The sequence below is a fragment of the Homo sapiens genome, chromosome 18 (genome assembly GCF_000001405.40).
Source record: "Homo sapiens chromosome 18, GRCh38.p14 Primary Assembly".
NCBI lineage: Eukaryota > Metazoa > Chordata > Mammalia > Primates > Hominidae > Homo > Homo sapiens.
The window spans coordinates 79,491,979-79,508,639 of NC_000018.10; the positions used below are offsets into that span (position 1 = coordinate 79,491,979).

General features: G+C 50.1%; 1 protein-coding gene across 8 annotated transcripts in view, besides 2 other annotated features; it reads left to right on the top strand.

Annotated features, from left to right (window-relative positions):
• The window catches only part of NFATC1 (nuclear factor of activated T cells 1), a 133,394-nt gene that overhangs the window by 96,049 nt on the left and 20,684 nt on the right, over positions 1–16,661 (top strand). The gene's annotated exons all lie outside the window — the stretch shown is intronic.
• Positions 1,656–1,825: an enhancer, noted in NCBI's record as "experimental_50638 CRE fragment used in MPRA reporter constructs". NCBI's record gives its function as "activates a minimal promoter by MPRAs in K562 erythroleukemia cells, with activity observed for the non-introgressed 18:77253719 variant allele {active_cell/tissue: K562}" and the evidence as "EXISTENCE:reporter gene assay evidence [ECO:0000049][PMID:34662402]".
• Positions 14,171–14,450: an enhancer, noted in NCBI's record as "active region_13542". NCBI's record gives its function as "activates an Ori minimal core promoter by ATAC-STARR-seq in GM12878 lymphoblastoid cells {active_cell/tissue: GM12878}" and the evidence as "EXISTENCE:reporter gene assay evidence [ECO:0000049][PMID:35858748]".

Sequence of the window (16,661 nt, forward strand, 5' to 3'; positions counted from 1 at the left end):
CTCCTCACGCCCAGTGATGCTGACGACGGCCTGCCCGTGAGGACATAGAACTTTTTCTGTGCGTAGTGGTTTTTCATTTGTTTTGATTTTGTTTTCCAGGAATGTGGAGTTAAAAGGCAATAAGAGAATAGTGTCCAGTTGCAGAGTCTAGGTAGGGGGTCCACAGTGTCCGTGTTTGCATCCCTGAGGGGTCTGAGGAGGGCAGTTCACGCTGGAGCCTCCTCTGTGGCAGCCTCTGCTCAGCCGCAGGAACCTAAAGGTCACGCACAGCCCACATCCTGTGCGTCTCAAAGAAGTCAAGCCTCAAAATGAAAAATGAGGCTGGGCACGGTGGCTCACTTTGGGAGGCCTAGGTGGGTGGATCACCTGAGGTCAGGAGTTCAAGACCAGCCTGGTCAACATGGTAGAACCCCATCTCTACTAAAAATACAAAAATTAGCTGGGCGTGGGGCTGGGTGCAGTGGCTCAGGCCTGTAATCCCTGTACTTTGGAAGGCTGAGGCGGGTGGATCACGAGGCCAGAAGATCGAAACCATCCTGACTAACATGGTGAAACCCCATCTCTACTAAAAATACAAAAAATTAGCCGGGAGTGGTGGCGGGCGCCTGTAGTCCCAGCCACTCGGGAGGCTGAGACAGGAGAATGGCGTGAACCTGGGAGGCGGAGCTTGCAGAGAGCTGAGATCGCGCCACTGCACTCCAGCCTGGGTGACAGAGCGAGACTCCATCTCAAAAAAAAAAAAAAGATTAGCTGGGCGTGGTGGTGCATGCCTATAATCCCAGCTACTTGGAAGGCTGAGGCAGGAGAATCACTCGAACCTGGGAGATGGAGGTTGCAGTGAGCTGAGACCTCGCCACTGCACTCCAGCCTGGGTGACAAAGCGAGACTCCATCTCAAAAAAAAAAAAGAAAAATGAATCCAGCTTTTTTTTTTTTTTTTTTTTTTTTTAGGATTTCTTTGCTTTCCAGTCCTTTCTACTCCCAAGTTTTGTTTCAGAAGTGCTTGACCCATAAATAAATTCCAACAATGAGGTCGTCTTTGTTTCTCCTGAATATTGGGCTTTCCCCTCAGACTTCTCGAGCATGGCCGAGCCACAGAGGTTCAGTTTTTAAACAGTGGTTTTCTGTATCTTGCATTATTTTAAATGTAGATTTGAAAAAATGCCACAGAGCTCCGTGTGGCTCCTTTTCTAATGTGATCTCCACGCATTCCGCATCGTGGAGAAGGGCCGTGAGGAGGCTCCGCTGGGGGCGGACTCGCGGTGGATTACGCGTCAGCGAGGGCCGCCCCGTGCCACGCGCTCGCGCGCTGAGAGCGTTTGTGGGGCCTGTGTCTTCCGAAACGGAGGCGCTCGGGGCCCGCTGCGGTGCCCGCGGGTCTGTGCCGCTGAAGTGGGCACCCCTCCTCCAGCCTCGTGAGGACAGCGGCCGTCCCTCGGCGCGGGGCTGGTCTGCCACGGGCGCCTCCCCGTGTCCCCTGGGCCGCCGCACGGCCTCTGCCACGGTCGGCCCTTTCAGTCCCTCAGAAGCACTTGGGTTTAAAGTCTCCATGTCATTAAAACAACGAGCAGGTAGACGAGGCGGCCGGAGCGTGTCCGCCGCAGTCTGGGCTGTGAACGGGCCCCTCGCCCGCCCCTCCTGAGCCGGAGCTGCTCCGGAGGACGAGAAGCTCCCTTCGTGGAAAGTCTTACTAACCTGGCCCGGCGCCCAGGTCTGAGGCCTTCCCCCCGGCTGAGGATGATTGAAAGAGCCTGTGTGCCGCCATCCAACGTCGTTACCGTCGCAGACGGCGGCTACCGCGTGATGGATGGAGCAGCGGACTCAGCCGTGCAAATCATTCATCGGGGTCAGTGCCTGGTGCCGTGGGACCGCGGCGTGGGGGTTTCAAGGCGTAAAAATCGCACCGCACGCCACCCGGAGACGGAGCCTGCTGTCGGCAGGGCGGGCCGGGCTGCGGGGCCGGGTGCTCCGGAGGCCGCTGAAGAGGCAGCTCCCCAACGCCAAGAGCCCGTCCAGCCCCAGGCCCGGAGCTGCTTCCTCAGGGAGCCCACCCTGTGACGTGCCCGAGGTGAGGCGGCCACCAGAGGCCGCGTCCAAACCTGTGCGCCAGGCAGCGTGTGGCTGAGGCTCAGACGTCGACTCACGCGTTTCAGTTCCTCTCGAGAAAACTCGCTGCCACCTGGTCTCAGCCAGCGACCGCGAGGGACAGTGAGAAAGGCGAGAGCGGGCACACGCCCCCCATCAACCTGGTGTGGCCGGGGGAAGGCGAGAGCGGGCACACGCCCCCCATGAACCTGGTACCGCCGGGGGAAGGCGAGAGCGGGCACACGCCCCCCATGAACCTGGTACGGCCGGGGGAAGGCGAGAGCGGGCACACGCCCCCCATCGACCTGGTACCGCCGGGGGAAGGCGAGAGCGGGCACACGCCCCCCATCGACCTGGTACCGCCGGGGGAAGGCGAGAGCGGGCACACGCCCCCCATCGACCTGGTACCGCCGGGGGAAGGCGAGAGCGGGCACACGCCCCCCATGAACCTGGTGCGGCCGGGGGAAGGCGAGAGCGGGCACACGCCCCCCATGAACCTGGTACCGCCGGGGGAAGGCGAGAGCGGGCACACGCCCCCCATCGACCTGGTACCGCCGGGGGAAGGCGAGAGCGGGCACACGCCCCCCATCGACCTGGTACCGCCGGGGGAAGGCGAGAGCGGGCACACGCCCCCCATGAACCTGGTACCGCCGGGGGAAGGCGAGAGCGGGCACACGCCCCCCATCGACCTGGTACCGCCGGGGGAAGGCGAGAGCGGGCACATGCCCCCCATCGACCTGGTACCGCCGGGGGAAGGCGAGAGCGGGCACACGCCCCCCATGAACCTGGTGCGGCCGGGGGAAGGCGAGAGCGGGCACACGCCCCCCATGAACCTGGTACCGCCGGGGGAAAGCGAGAGCGGGCACACGCCCCCCATCAACCTGGTACGGCCGGGGGAAGGCGAGAGCGGGCACACGCCCCCCATCAACCTGGTGCGGCCGGGTGAGCATGGAGCCCATGGCTGGAGAACCCTGGGGCAGCTGCAGTGGCAAGTCTGCCCCTTGAGGAAATGGGGGCAAGGATGGCACTGAGACGGGTGCTGAACAAGGCTCTCTAAAAATAGGGGCTGCATGGGCTGTGCACATCCCGTGTGGGTGCTGTTGCAGGTCTCCCGCCGTGGCGTGCAGGCTGTGAGGCCACAGTGCCTCCGTCCTTCCCTGAGGTGGGCACGGGAGAAAGGAGAGGTGCCCGCTCCTGTGAGCTGCCCACGGGCTGCTCCTTGGGGCCTGTGAGGTTCTGGGCACTTTTTTAAATTGCCTGAAGATATTCACTGTGGACACAGAATATTTTGAATTCTATGCTGTTTCTAGTTGAAATATCAGTCTACAGTCCAATTTTGTGTACTTGGAAGGGAAATTTGGGGGTATCATTTTCAGCTATTCATCTTCTGCCTTTGACTCCTTAAAAGTGGGTCTTAGCTTGTTTCGGCGTTAAGTGGAGAGCTGTCTAAAATTAGTAACTGGAGAGAGAGACATAGGGACGAGGTGGAAGGAAGCAAGAGGGAAGAGCTGGAGAGATTTCACAGAGCTTGGGCAATGAGCACTGTTTAGATCTATTTTGTGCCGAAGAAAATTCACGGCCAGTGGCAGCAAAGAGAGACCAAGCCCTGATGTTCAGCCGCGACTGCGCGTCTGGGCAGTGTGGGGCGTGTGTGCGATGCCTTTGTCATCTTGTGTAGGCAAGCCGTGAACAGTGGTAAGGCGTTCGCGAGTCATTGTAACGTAGGCAGGCCGTGAACAGTACTAAGGCGTTCATGGGTGTGTCACTGTAACACAGGCAAGCTGTGAACCGTAGTAAGGTGTCCGCAAGTGTCACTGTAACACAGGCAAGCCGTGAACAGTAGTAAGGCGCCCGCGGGTGTGTCGCTGTGACGCGGGCAAGCCGTGAACAGTAGTAAGGCGTCCGCAAGTGTCACTGTAACGCAGGCAAGCCGTGAACAGTAGTAAGGCGTCCGCGGGTGTGTCGCTGTGACGCGGGTAAGCCGTGAACAGTAGTAAGGCATTCGCAAGTGTGTCATTGTAACGCTGTGTTTTTCTGGTGTAGATGCACTCTGTTTTCCTCCTACAGATGATTTCAAACTTTACAGAAACATTTTAAGTGGCATTGTCTCCATTTCAAATCAAGTTGCCTAGCTTCCTCCTACCGCCATACGTTTTCTCTTCCTAATGTGTAGACATTTCAAAGAGCTTCCTTATTTGAGAACGAGTGTTCTTTACAGACACGCTTAGATCTGTGAGCCAGCATGTCGCACTGATGTGCTGGGGTACCGGAGCGTGAAGCCATGAGCGAGGTATTTAAAAAGCATAACAGCCACATTCAGCGCCCAGAGGCCGATCGCCCGTCAGAGGGAGAGAGGTGGCCGGGGCAGTGGAGGGCTCTGCCCATGTCTGTCAGACAGCCATGTTCTTGCCAGGGCAGCCAGGGCCGGGCCACTCAAGCTGGGTGCTTGGCTCTCCCTGAGCTCGAGCACGGGCACGTTCAGGTGATCTTCCTGATAGCAAAGTGCGTTTCTGCGCATGGACTCCTGAGGAGCAGCGAGGAGCTGACTCACACATTCTGCCAAGCCCAGGCTAGAAAGAGGGGACAGTCGGAACCGTAGTGTTTTCTTCCTGTCAATGCTGAGAGACTCACTCCTGAGGTCGCACATCCTTGCCAGCAAACGGAAGACCCAGATCACAGTCCTAGGCTCGTCCTGGACGTGTAGCCTTTGTACGTTCCATAGTGACCTTTTGTACATTTTCTCCTGTGCGTGTTCAGCCTTAGAATGGCACTGTGGGCAGGCAGAACTGCCGGTGCTCACCACCCCCCTTTCCCGGGGGGAAACTGAGGCTCAGAGAGATGCCGCTGGACTTGCTCCAAGTCAGTCAATGAGGCAGAACCAGGAGCGCCCCAACCCCAGCGCCAAGGCCCGCATGCTCTCGCGGGTCCCAGCTCTACCGTTGAGTATTTTCTTCCCACTAGAGAGATGTGATGAGCAAAGATTTCCGCTCAGAACTCCTAACATCCAAGTATGAGTTGGCTTTGCAAGCCGAAGGGGAGCATGGTGTCTGTTTTTCTTCAGAGAATTTCTGACTGTTTGCTAAGGCACGTTTCCATAAGAAGGACTGGAGAGAAGCAGGCCTTCTAAACTGCTGGAGAGCATCTTGAATCAGCTCTCCCCCAAAGCAACAAAAATACAGCATCACTGTCAAATCAACCACCAAATCTGGCAGTCAGCCAAGAGGACAGAACAAACACAGATGCATTCACTCAAGGAAGAGCGGCCCCAGGGGGAAGAACAGGATGGCAGCGTCTTCACTTGGGGCCGCTCCAGCCCCGAGGCGCACAGCCGTGGAAAGCCGGTGACAGCACAGACCGTGGAGGAGCTGGGCTCTGTTGAAAACCCCATCCCAGGATGCAGTCCGCATTTGGACTGGTCATGGAGCTCCTGGAAAAGGCCCGTTCCGAGGCACAATCACCGTTGGCTGCAGTCGTGATCATGGGAGCTGCCCCAAGGCTGCGATCGACATTGGAGCAAACAAGAGCCTGGCCAGACCAGGTGACCCCGGGGACTTTGAAAAACCTTGGAGATTCCCGGGCACATACGAAAATGGATGTGTGAAGGCTTCGGTACAGAGAGGGCCCCAGCCACTCTTCTCTGGCTGACCTCAAAACCCCACCAAGCAGAAGTGAGAGGTAAAGCTGCCTGTGGCTGGGAGGCAGGTCCTGACACACAGGTTTTGTGATTAGAGGGAGGAGACTGGCTTCGTGGCTCAAGGATTTAAGGAAACTTCCTGTCTGGTAACAGCAGACCATTAAACTCTGCTAACCAGAGGGTGATCCCTAGGCAGCCTGGCTTAAAGACAGAAACAAGATTTAAAAACAGAGAGAACAGAAAACTCAGTGTCCACATTCTGCAAGGAATACAGCATCTAGATAATTAGTCCAGGAAAGTCATGAGTCACATAAGCAACAACCAAGGAGAGGGGAAGCCGAGAAACAACAAGTCCTATTTGGAGGGGGATGGGGGGGGGGGAATCTCATTTCAGAGTCGCTACAATGCATTAGTTGTCATCTCCAGTTGTAAACCAAAAAATTATAGTACATGCAAGAAAACATGAAAATATGTCCCATCCACAGGAAGAAAAATCTGTAGCCCCTGAGAGGGCTCAGGTATTAGACCAGCAAAGGCTTTAAATCAGCTGCAATAAATATGCTCAAAGAACTGAAAGAAATTGTATTTAAAAAATTACAGGGGAGTGTGGCAAATATATCTTACCAGATAGAGAATATCCATAATGAGATTTTTAAAAAAAAAAAAAAAGAAGCCAAATAGAAATTACACAGTTGAAAAGTAAATGAAAAATGCATTAGAGAGGCTGAACAACAGATTTGAGCTGGCAGAGAAAAAGAATCAAACGTAAAAATCAACAGATTATTTAGACTGAGGAACAGAAAGAAGAAAGAATCAATAAAAATGAACAAAGCCTCAGAGCATGTGAGATGCTGTAAACACATATACACATGCATAATGAGTTATAGAAAGAGATGATTAGAAGAAATACGTGAAGAAATAATGGCCCCAAACTTCCTAAATTTGATGGAAAACATTATTCAGTGCATCCAAATGGTTCACAAAATTCAAATGGGATAAATTAAAAGCAGCTCACACACAGACATAAACCAAACTGTTGAAAGTCAAAGGGAGAGACAATCCCGAAAGCAGTGAGAGGAAAACAGCTTCTCAGTACGTGGGATGCTCAGCAGGATTAACAGCCAGCTGCTTATTGTGAATCGTGGATGTCGGAGGACAGTGGGACGGCGCATTCAAAATGCTGAAAGAAAACCACTGTCAACCAAGAATTCTATATCTAGTAAAACTCATCTTTAGAGATGAAGAAACAAAGCTGTGCTCAGATAAACAAGACACACAGAATTTGTTGCCAACAGACCTGACCTACAGGACATATTAAAGGGAGTCCTTCAGGCTGAGGTAAGAAGCACTGGTGAGAGTAATTACATAGGTGAATTAAAAAGACAGCACAAACATGTTTTAAACTTTTCTTCTCTGAACTGATGTAAAAGGAAACTGCATAAGACACGATTGCAAACCTGTGCTGATAACAATGTGCTTATAACAATTTGTGTGACAGTAGCACAAAGGAAGGGGTGGGGAAGGAAGTTACAGCAAAGCAAAGTCTTTACATATTATTAGAACTCAGTATTCATCTGAAATAGACTGTTTTGACTAAGATGCTTGTTGTAATCTCCAGAGGAACCACTAAGAAAATATATATGTGTGTGAGTGTGTCACACACACACATAAAATGTCAAAAAATGCACTTAAATGATACACTAGAAAATATGTGTGTAACACAAAATAAGCCAGTAATGAAGGAACATAGAAACAATGACAACAGCAAAAGTTACACAAGACATGTAGAGAACAAATAGCAAAATGGAAAACATAATCCTACCGTATCAATAATCACATTAAATGTCAGTGGAATAAACACCCCAATAAAAAGGTAGATGTTGTCAGACTGGATGTTAAAGACAGAATGAAACAGGGTACAACCATATGCTGTCTAAAAAATACATATTTTAGATTTAAAGACACAAATAGGTTGAAAGTAAAATGATAAAGAGATACTGTGCAATAGTAATCAAAAGAGATATGGAGATAATGGAAAAAATACATACTTCAGATTTAAAGACACAAATAGGTTGAAAGTGAAAGGATGAAAAAGATAGGCAGAGTTAATGTAGAAATTTGGAGTAGCTACACTAATATCAGACAAATTAAACTCTAAGATAAAAATATTACTAGAAACAATGAACTGTCAGTAGTCATGTTCTCTTTGATCTTAAACCTGATACATTGAACAGGAAGATATAAACACATTTGCACATAACAGAGCCCCATAATACATGAAACAAGAACTGACAGAATTAAAGGGAGAAATACATAGTTGAAAAATAATAGCTGGAGACCAGTATATCACTCTTAATGGATAGAACAACTAGACAGAAAATCAAAAGGATATAAAACACTTAAGACTATCAACCAACTTTACAAGACATCTGTAGGACACTCTACAGAGTGCACATAGGATAGACTTCCTACTATGCCATAAAACAAGCCTTAATAAATTTCAAAATATTCTGATTGCAATGGATATCAATTGAAAATCAACAACAGATATTTCCACAAATATTTGGAAACTAAACAACACATTTCTAAATAATTAATGAGTGAAGTTAGAAAGTATAAGGGAAATTGGAAAATATTTTGAACTAAATGCAAATGAAAACACAACATATCAAAATTTGTGGGATGCAGGTAAGGCAGTGCTTAGAGGGAAATTTATAGCTTTAAATGCCTATATGAGGAATAAGATGGATTTCAAATCAATAATCTAAGCTTTTTCCTTAAAAATGTTGAAAAAGGAGAGAAAAAACCCAAGGCAAGTGGAAAAAAGGAAATGCTGAGGATGAGAAGAAAAAGCAATGAAATAGAAACATGAGAAAAATCAATAAAACCAAAGTTAGTTATTTGAAAAAACAACAAAATTGACAAAACTTTAATGAGTTTTTCTAACAAGAAAAATTAGGAATGAAAGAGGGGACATTGCTACTGACCCTGCAAAAATCAAAAGGTTATAAGGGAATACTATAACCTTATGCCAACAGATTAAACAACCTGGATGAAATGGAAACATTCTTAGACACGAATTACCTAAACTGACTCAGGAAGAAACAGAAAAGTATAATAGACCTATAGCAGGGAAATAAAAGAAATTAATAATTTAACATATTCTCACAAAGAAAAGCCCAGACCCAGAGAGCTTTACTGGTTAATTTTATTAAACATTACAAGAATAATACCAGTGCCAATACTCCACAAACTCTTCAGAAAATGAAGAAGGAACACTTCTAATACTGAAGCCAGTATAGCCCTAATACCAAAATCAAAAGTATCGTAAGAAAAACTATAGAAAAATATTCTTTATGAACACAGGAGCAAAAATCCACAACAAAATATTATCAAACTGAATCCAACAACATAAAAAAAAGATTTTACACCATGACCAAGTGGGATTTATCCCAGTAATGCAAGGTTGGTTTAGCATCAGAAAATGAAGTCATGTGATGTACCATATTAATAGAAAAAGGACAGAAACCACGTGATCATTTCAATAAATGCAAGAAAAAAAGCATTTAACAAAATCCAACACCAACTTATGATAAAATCTCTTGACAAACTTAGAACACAAGGGAACTTCTTAACCTGATCAAAGTCATACACAGAAAAAAAAACAGTGATCATCACACTGAATCGTCCAAGACGGAGGACCTTCTTTTCCCCTAGGATGAGGAAGGATGCAGAGGTGGCCACTTTCACTGCTGCTACTCAGCCTTGTACTGGAGGTTCTAGCCAGTGTAGCCAGGTAAGAAACAGAAATAAAAGGCAACCGGAATGGACAGGAAAAAGTAAAATTGTCTTTATTGGAAGAAAACGTGATTCTATATGTAGAAAATCCTGAGAAATCTGCCTACACCCCACCCCCCCTCCCCCCGCCAAAAAGGTAAAGGAAAACCCACTGTTAAAACTACCAAACAAGTGCAGCAAGGTCATCAGATGTGAGACCAGGGTACAAATAAATTATGTCTATATGCAAGGAATAATCCAAAAATGAAATCAAGGAAAAATTCCTATCTACGATATAGCATTAAAAAGAATAAAATATGAATAACTTTAAAGAAGTTAAGGACTTATACTCTGAAAATGACAGAACGTTGCTGAGGGAAAGTTAAGATCTAAATAAATGGGAGAACATTGCATGTTAATGGAACAGAAGAATCAATATTGTGAAGATGGCAGCTTTCTCCAGATTGATCTGGAGAATCAGTGCAATCTCCATCAAAACTCCAGCAATTTTTTCTTCTAAAATTCACAAAATGATCCTAAAATCTACATGGAGTTTCAAAGACCCAGAATAGCCAAAACAATTTTGAAATCAGAGAACAAAGTTGGAGGAGTTACACTTCGCAATTTCAGAACTTTCTGTGAAGCTATAATAATCAAGACAGTGTGGTATTGGCATAGGACACATAGATCAGTGGCGCAGAATTAAAAGCCCCAAAATAATTCTTATGTCTGCGGTAAATTGATTTTTTGACAAAGGCACAAAGCCCATTTAATTGGAGTAAATGACAGCCTTTTTAACAAGTGGTGCTGGGACATTTGCCACATGCAAAAAAACACACACCACGCACCGAAAATGAACTTGATCTTGGACTAGTAGGAGCCAAAATAGTCAAACGTTTTTGGAGATAGCACATGAGGAACTCTTTCAAGACTTTGGATTAGGCAGAGGTTTCTTAGATATGACATCAAAAGCACAGCTCATAAAATAAAAACTTGATAAATGGAACCTCACCAAAATTTAAAATTTTTATGCTTCAAAAGTACTATTAAGAAAATGAAAAGATAAGCAATAGACTAGAGGAATGTGTTTGCAAAACAACTATCTGATAAAGGGCTTATATCCAGAATATACAAAGAACACTTACAGCTCAATAATAAGACAGAAAGCCTAATCAAAAACTGGGCAAAGGATTTGAATAGACATTTCTCCAGACAAGACATAGGAATGGATAATAAACACATGAAAAAATACTCCACATCACTAGTTATTAGGGAATGCACATTGTAAATTTCAATAAGATACCATTTTATATCCATTCAAGTGGCTTTAGGAGATAAGATAGACAACAGCCAATTTTAGAGACGAGGAGAAATTGGGCCCCTGAAGCCTTGCTGGCAGGAGTGTAACATGGCATTACATTCCGGCCACTTAGGCAGTTTCTTAAAGAAATTTCTTAGAAGAAACTTGCCATGTGACTCAGCAGTTCCACTCCTAGGTATGTATTCAAGGAAACAGATGCACACATCCACACAAAGGCTTGTACATGACTGTCCTTCACAGCGTTCTTTAGCCAAACATCTGAAACAACCACAATGCCCAGCATGTGGGGAAGAGAGAGGAAAGGTGGGGTTTATCCTCACCCGAGTGTTATCCATCCCCAAAAGGAATGAGTACTGAGCACCCCAGGACTCAGGTGAACCTGGAAACCCTCATGCTCTGGGAAAAATCCACACACGAGACCACAGACTCAGTGGCTCCCTTGCATGCACACCTCAGAGACGTCGCAGGTTCAGCCTCAGACCACTGGGATACAGCCAGTATGGCAAAAGAAAGCCGCTGGAGTGTGTGGCTTCCAGGGCATATAAAAGTGACGCTCACACTGTACTGAGTCTGTTAAGTGTGCACCAGCAATGTGTCTAAAAAAACAGTGTTTGTACCTGCGTGGGGTGACCAGGTGCATTGTCCGTGAGCAGTAATATTATTAAAGGGCTCTTTTTATGAGCAGTTAAGTCTCAATGGTGGGCTTAAAACCTTCGGTAAACCATGCTGTGAACAGAGGTGCCGTCATCCGGGCTTTGTCGCTCCATGGGTGGCGCACAGGCAGAGGAGATTCCGCGTCATTCTTAGGGGCCTTGGGATTTTCGGGGTGGCAGATGGACACTGGATTCAACTTAAAGTCACCAGCTGCATTAGCCCCTACCAAGGGGGTCAGCCTGTCCTTGGAAGCTTTGCAGCCAGACACTGAGTCCTCTCCAGCTATGGGAGTCCCAGACGGCATCTCCAATAGAAGGCTGTTTTGTCTGCACAGAAAATCTGTTGTTTAGTGTGGCCACCTTCACCAATGGTCTCAGCCAGATCTCCTGGAGAACTTGCTGCAGCTTCCCCATCAGCACTTGCTGCTTCATCTTTGCTTTTATGGTATGGAGATGGCTTCTTTCCTTCAACCTCATGAACTAGCCTCTGCTGGCTTCAAACTTTTTTTTCTGCAGCTTCCTCATCTCTCAGCCTTCGTAGGACAGAGAGAGCGAGGGTCTTGGTCTGGATTAGGCTTTGGCTTAAGGGAGTGTTGTGGCTGGTTCAATCTTCTGTCCAGATCACTCGGACTTTCTCTGTATCAGCAATAAGGCTGTTCCGCCCTCTTATCATCGGTGTTGTTCACTAGGGCAGCGGTTTTCACTTCTGTCTGTCTAGAGTTTTCCGCTGCATTCACAGTTGGACTGGCGCGGGAGGCTGAGCTGTCAGCCTGTCTCGGCTTTCGACGGGTGTTCCTCACCAAATTTAATCATTCCTAGTTTTGAAGTGAGAGACGTGTGACCTTTCCTTGCCCTTGAACTTTTACTTGAAAACTTGGAGGCTGTCGTAGGGTTCTTAATTGGCCTAATGTCAGTATGGTTGTGTCTCAGGGAATAGGGAGGCCTGAGCCCAGGGAGAGAGATAGAGAATGGCTGGTCAGTGGAGCAGTCAGGACGCACCCAGCTCTTATCCATTCACTTCATCTTAGATGGGCACAGTTCGTGGCACCCCAAAACAATGACAACAGTAACCCCAAAGATCACAGATCTCCGCAGCAGATATGATAGCAATGAGAAAGCTTGGAACATCATGAGCATTATTGAAACGTGACACAGAGATATGAAGTGGGCACCTGCTGTTGGAAACGTGGTGCCCACAGACATGCCTGGTGCAGGGTTGCCAAAGACCTCCCCTTTGTGAAAAGCAGTGTCTGAAGCACAGTGAAGTGAGGCTTGCCTGCAAGACATCCACAAAAGGCGCAGCTCTGGAGACAGGAGACTGCTGCGTGGGAGGAGGTGGTGCTGGAGGCCCTTGGGTGAGGGAAGAGGCAGGAGACTGCTGTGTGGGAGGAGGTGGTGCTGGAGGCCCTTGGGTGAGGGAAGAGGCAGGAGACTGCTGCGTGGGAGGAGGTGGTGCTGGAGGCCCTTGGGTGAGGGAAGAGGCAGGAGACTGCTGTGTGGGAGGAGGTGGTGGATGAGACCCTTGGGTGATGGAAGAGGCAGGAGACTGCTGCGTGGGAGGAGGTGGTGCTGGAGGCCCTTGGGTGAGGGAAGAGGCAGGAGACTGCTGCGTGGGAGGAGGTGATGCTGGAGGCCCTTGGGTGATGGAAGAGGCAGGAGACTGCTGCGTGGGAGGAGGTGGTGCTGGAGGCCCTTGGGTGAGGGAAGAGGCAGGAGACTGCTGCGTGGGAGGAGGTGGTGCTGGAGGCCCTTGGGTGAGGGAAGAGGCAGGAGACTGCTGTGTGGGAGGAGGTGGTGGATGAGACCCTTGGGTGATGGAAGAGGCAGGAGACTGCTGCGTGGGAGGAGGTGGTGCTGGAGGCCCTTGGGTGAGGGAAGAGGCAGGAGACTGCTGCGTGGGAGGAGGTGATGCTGGAGGCCCTTGGGTGATGGAAGAGGCAGGAGACTGCTGCGTGGGAGGAGGTGGTGCTGGAGGCCCTTGGGTGAGAGAAGAGGCAGGAGACTGCTGCGTGGGAGGAGGTGATGCTGGAGGCCCTTGGGTGATGGAAGAGGCAGGAGACTGCTGTGTGGGAGGAGGTGGTGCTGGAGGCCCTTGGGTGAGGGAAGAGGCAGGAGACTGCTGTGTGGGAGGAGGTGGTGGATGAGACCCTTGGGTGATGGAAGAGGCAGGAGACTGCTGCGTGGGAGGAGGTGGTGGACGAGACCCTTGGGTGATGGAAGAGGCAGGAGACTGCTGTGTGGGAGGAGGTGGTGCTGGAGGCCCTTGGGTGAGGGAAGAGGCAGGAGACTGCTGTGTGGGAGGAGGTGGTGGATGAGACCCTTGGGTGAGGGAAGAGGCAGGAGACTGCTGTGTGGGAGGAGGTGGTGCTGGAGGCCCTTGGGTGAGGGAAGAGGCAGGAGACTGCTGCGTGGGAGGAGGTGGTGCTGGAGGCCCTTGGATGAGGGAAGAGGCAGGAGACCGCTTTGTGGGAAGAGGTGGTGGACGAGCCCCTTGGGTGATGGAAGTGTTCTGACACCTGCAGTGATGGTGGCACAACTGGGCACCTTTACCAAAAATCACTGAATTTTGTGCCCTTCTCAAGGGTGCATTACCTGTGTGAAACGTGCCTCCGTAGAATGCTGTGTGTTTAGGGAGGGGCTGGGAGACCCTAGCAATGCCACGTGCTTTTTACTTTTCTTCAACTGAGTTTTGAGCATTTTGTTAATGCAAGAAAAAGGACTCCTTATAAAGAGCGGTTCGCCGTGGGGTCTGAGCCTGTGGCGTGGTTTCAGTTGCCTCCTCAGCCGCAGTGTGGAGAGGAACAGTGGTCTCGGCCGAGCAGCGGCTGTGGGCACCTGCGTGTCAGCCCCTCCCTCCGTGGACAGATGCTCCTGAGCTTCCCCAGCAAAGACACTGGGACTGTGCGCCTTGTCCCCCCATCTTCCCACCTCCGGTGACCAGGCCTCTCCCAGGGACCCTCTGTGCTGGCCCGGCACCTGCTCTGATATGCCCTCCCCAGGGGTGTGGGTCCGTCTGCCCTCCACACAGCCCTTGGAGCCTCTCTTCACAGGGCCTGAGAGCTGAGTGTGGTTTCATAACGTGGTTCATTGGCCTCTGAAGATGCTCAGTGCTGGGGGAATTGGGCTTGAAGCCATCACGTCCAACACACGGTCCCTGGACCATGTCCTGTAGGGAGTGTTAGGAGGAGTCTAGCTCTATTTTTAAATGACAGTGTTCATGACAGAATTTCTCGTAGGGAATAAAAATGTGTGTGCTTCCCAGTTACTTATTGTGTTGCTTAATTAAGAAATCTCTTTAGAAACACAGACGGGAGCATGAACTTCTCAGCCACTTCCTGCCTGGCTTCTGGGTGGTTCTGTGTTGCATTACTGGAGGTCTGGGTGTGGAATTTTGAGAATCTCTTGATCCTTTTCAGTTTAATTCTGAAACAGGGTTCTTCCTTCCTTCCAGATTACAGTGTGGACACTCACACACAGTAAGGGACAAAGAAAGTGTATCCCCTTCCAAAGATCCGCCCACCAGGCCCCGGACCCATAATCAAAGCCTGATACTGGGACAATGGACCCAGCGGCCGGGCCAGCCCTCCCCTAGTTATCACCCCAGAGCTGTGGCTGGGCTCTCTTTGTTCCGAAACGGAGCTGATGGAGCAGGACGCTGTCGCCAGGCACTGCGGGGAGGGGGTTATCAGCCCCTGGCCCGCGTCCCACCCCAGAGGTGAAGTCTTCGCCCCAGACAGGCCCTATCAGGCCCTCCCAGCTGCTGTTATTTTAGATATGGCAGGAAGTAGGGCCTGGAAACCGCACGGCTCCCAGCCCTTGGCAGCAGCTCAGTTCCCGAGGCTGCACTCAGAGCTGGTGGCAGGGAGGGAGAAGGCACAGCAGCCTGGACTGCGGGTTAGAGGGCTGTGCCGGGGCCGGTGGAGCCATGCGAGCGGCCGCGTAAATCAGGCAGGCGTGGCCGGCAGGCTGTGGCTCCCCACAGACATGGGGCTGACGGTGTGCAGCGCTGGCTGGCGCAGCCTCTGCCAAGGGAGCCCCTGCCCTCCGGGGCAGCACCATGAAGACCTCACCCCTCAAGTGGATGGGTTTGCAGTTCAGCCCAGTGTCTGTTCAGCTGGCACCGATGGGCCCAGATGTCCTCCCTGGCAGTGTCTCAGCAGGCGCACAGACGAGCCCTGGGCCAGGGGACAAATGTGTGGGTTCCTGACGCACGTCCCCCGGAGCCCTAGAAAGGACACCAGGCTTCTGCACCCCCACCCGTGATGTGTTGCAAGAAGCCTCACGAGTCAGTAAAGAAAAACCTTCTCCCTCGCCCTCTGAAATAGTAAACGTTAGTGAGCGCATTCGCATCCGCAGTGCTTTTACGTGAGAAGTTAGGTTTTGGGAGCTTTCGGAGGAGCTGGCTGTGGAGGGAAACACGTCCGTCACGTGGCCACCGTCCCGCGGGAAGCTGGGGGCCGTCGCTCTGGCCGGGCTCCCCGCAGCCGCAGTCGCCGCGTCAGGCGGAGGATCCCTGTTATGTACTTTCCCTTTTCCACAGTAGCTGCTGCCAGCGGGCTGTAAACTACCGTATATCACTCAGATTTAAGAACCCAAACTTTAAAACAAATTAAACTCTTGTTGACATTGTAATAAAAATCAGAATGGAACTGAACAGCTCAGTAAAAGTGAACTTCAATTATTTTTGTGGATTTCAGATTGTTTTCTGGGATTCCCAGACTCCCAGTGCAGCTGAGTTATTTCCTCTTGGCAGAAGGCTGGAGAAAAAAGGTGGAGGGAGGGAGGGACGGACGGACGGAGGGCGCCTGGTGGGAGGAAGCCTGGTCACCTGGCTGGAGGGAGGGATGGACGGACAGAGGGTGCCGGGCAGGAGGAAGCGTCGTCACCTGGCAGTTCGCTCGGCCTGACCAGCAGCCACAGGGCAGCGGCGTGCGTGTGAGGGTTGGGTGAGGGGGCGCATGGGCAGGTGTTTTTTATGTGTTTTAATTTAAGAAAAGAGCTCAGAAATGTTTGTCAGAGCCTATCTGTTAATTAGGTGTTTATGCTGGATTAAAAGAAAAATTGAAAGCACTAGTCTGACTGCCCCTCAAAAATGTGCTCGAAGGCTCATAAACGCACGGAGGGTCTGAACTCCCTCCCCTCTCTCTCGGTCTTTCTCTGTATCTCTATCCCTCTCTCTGTCTCTGTCTCTC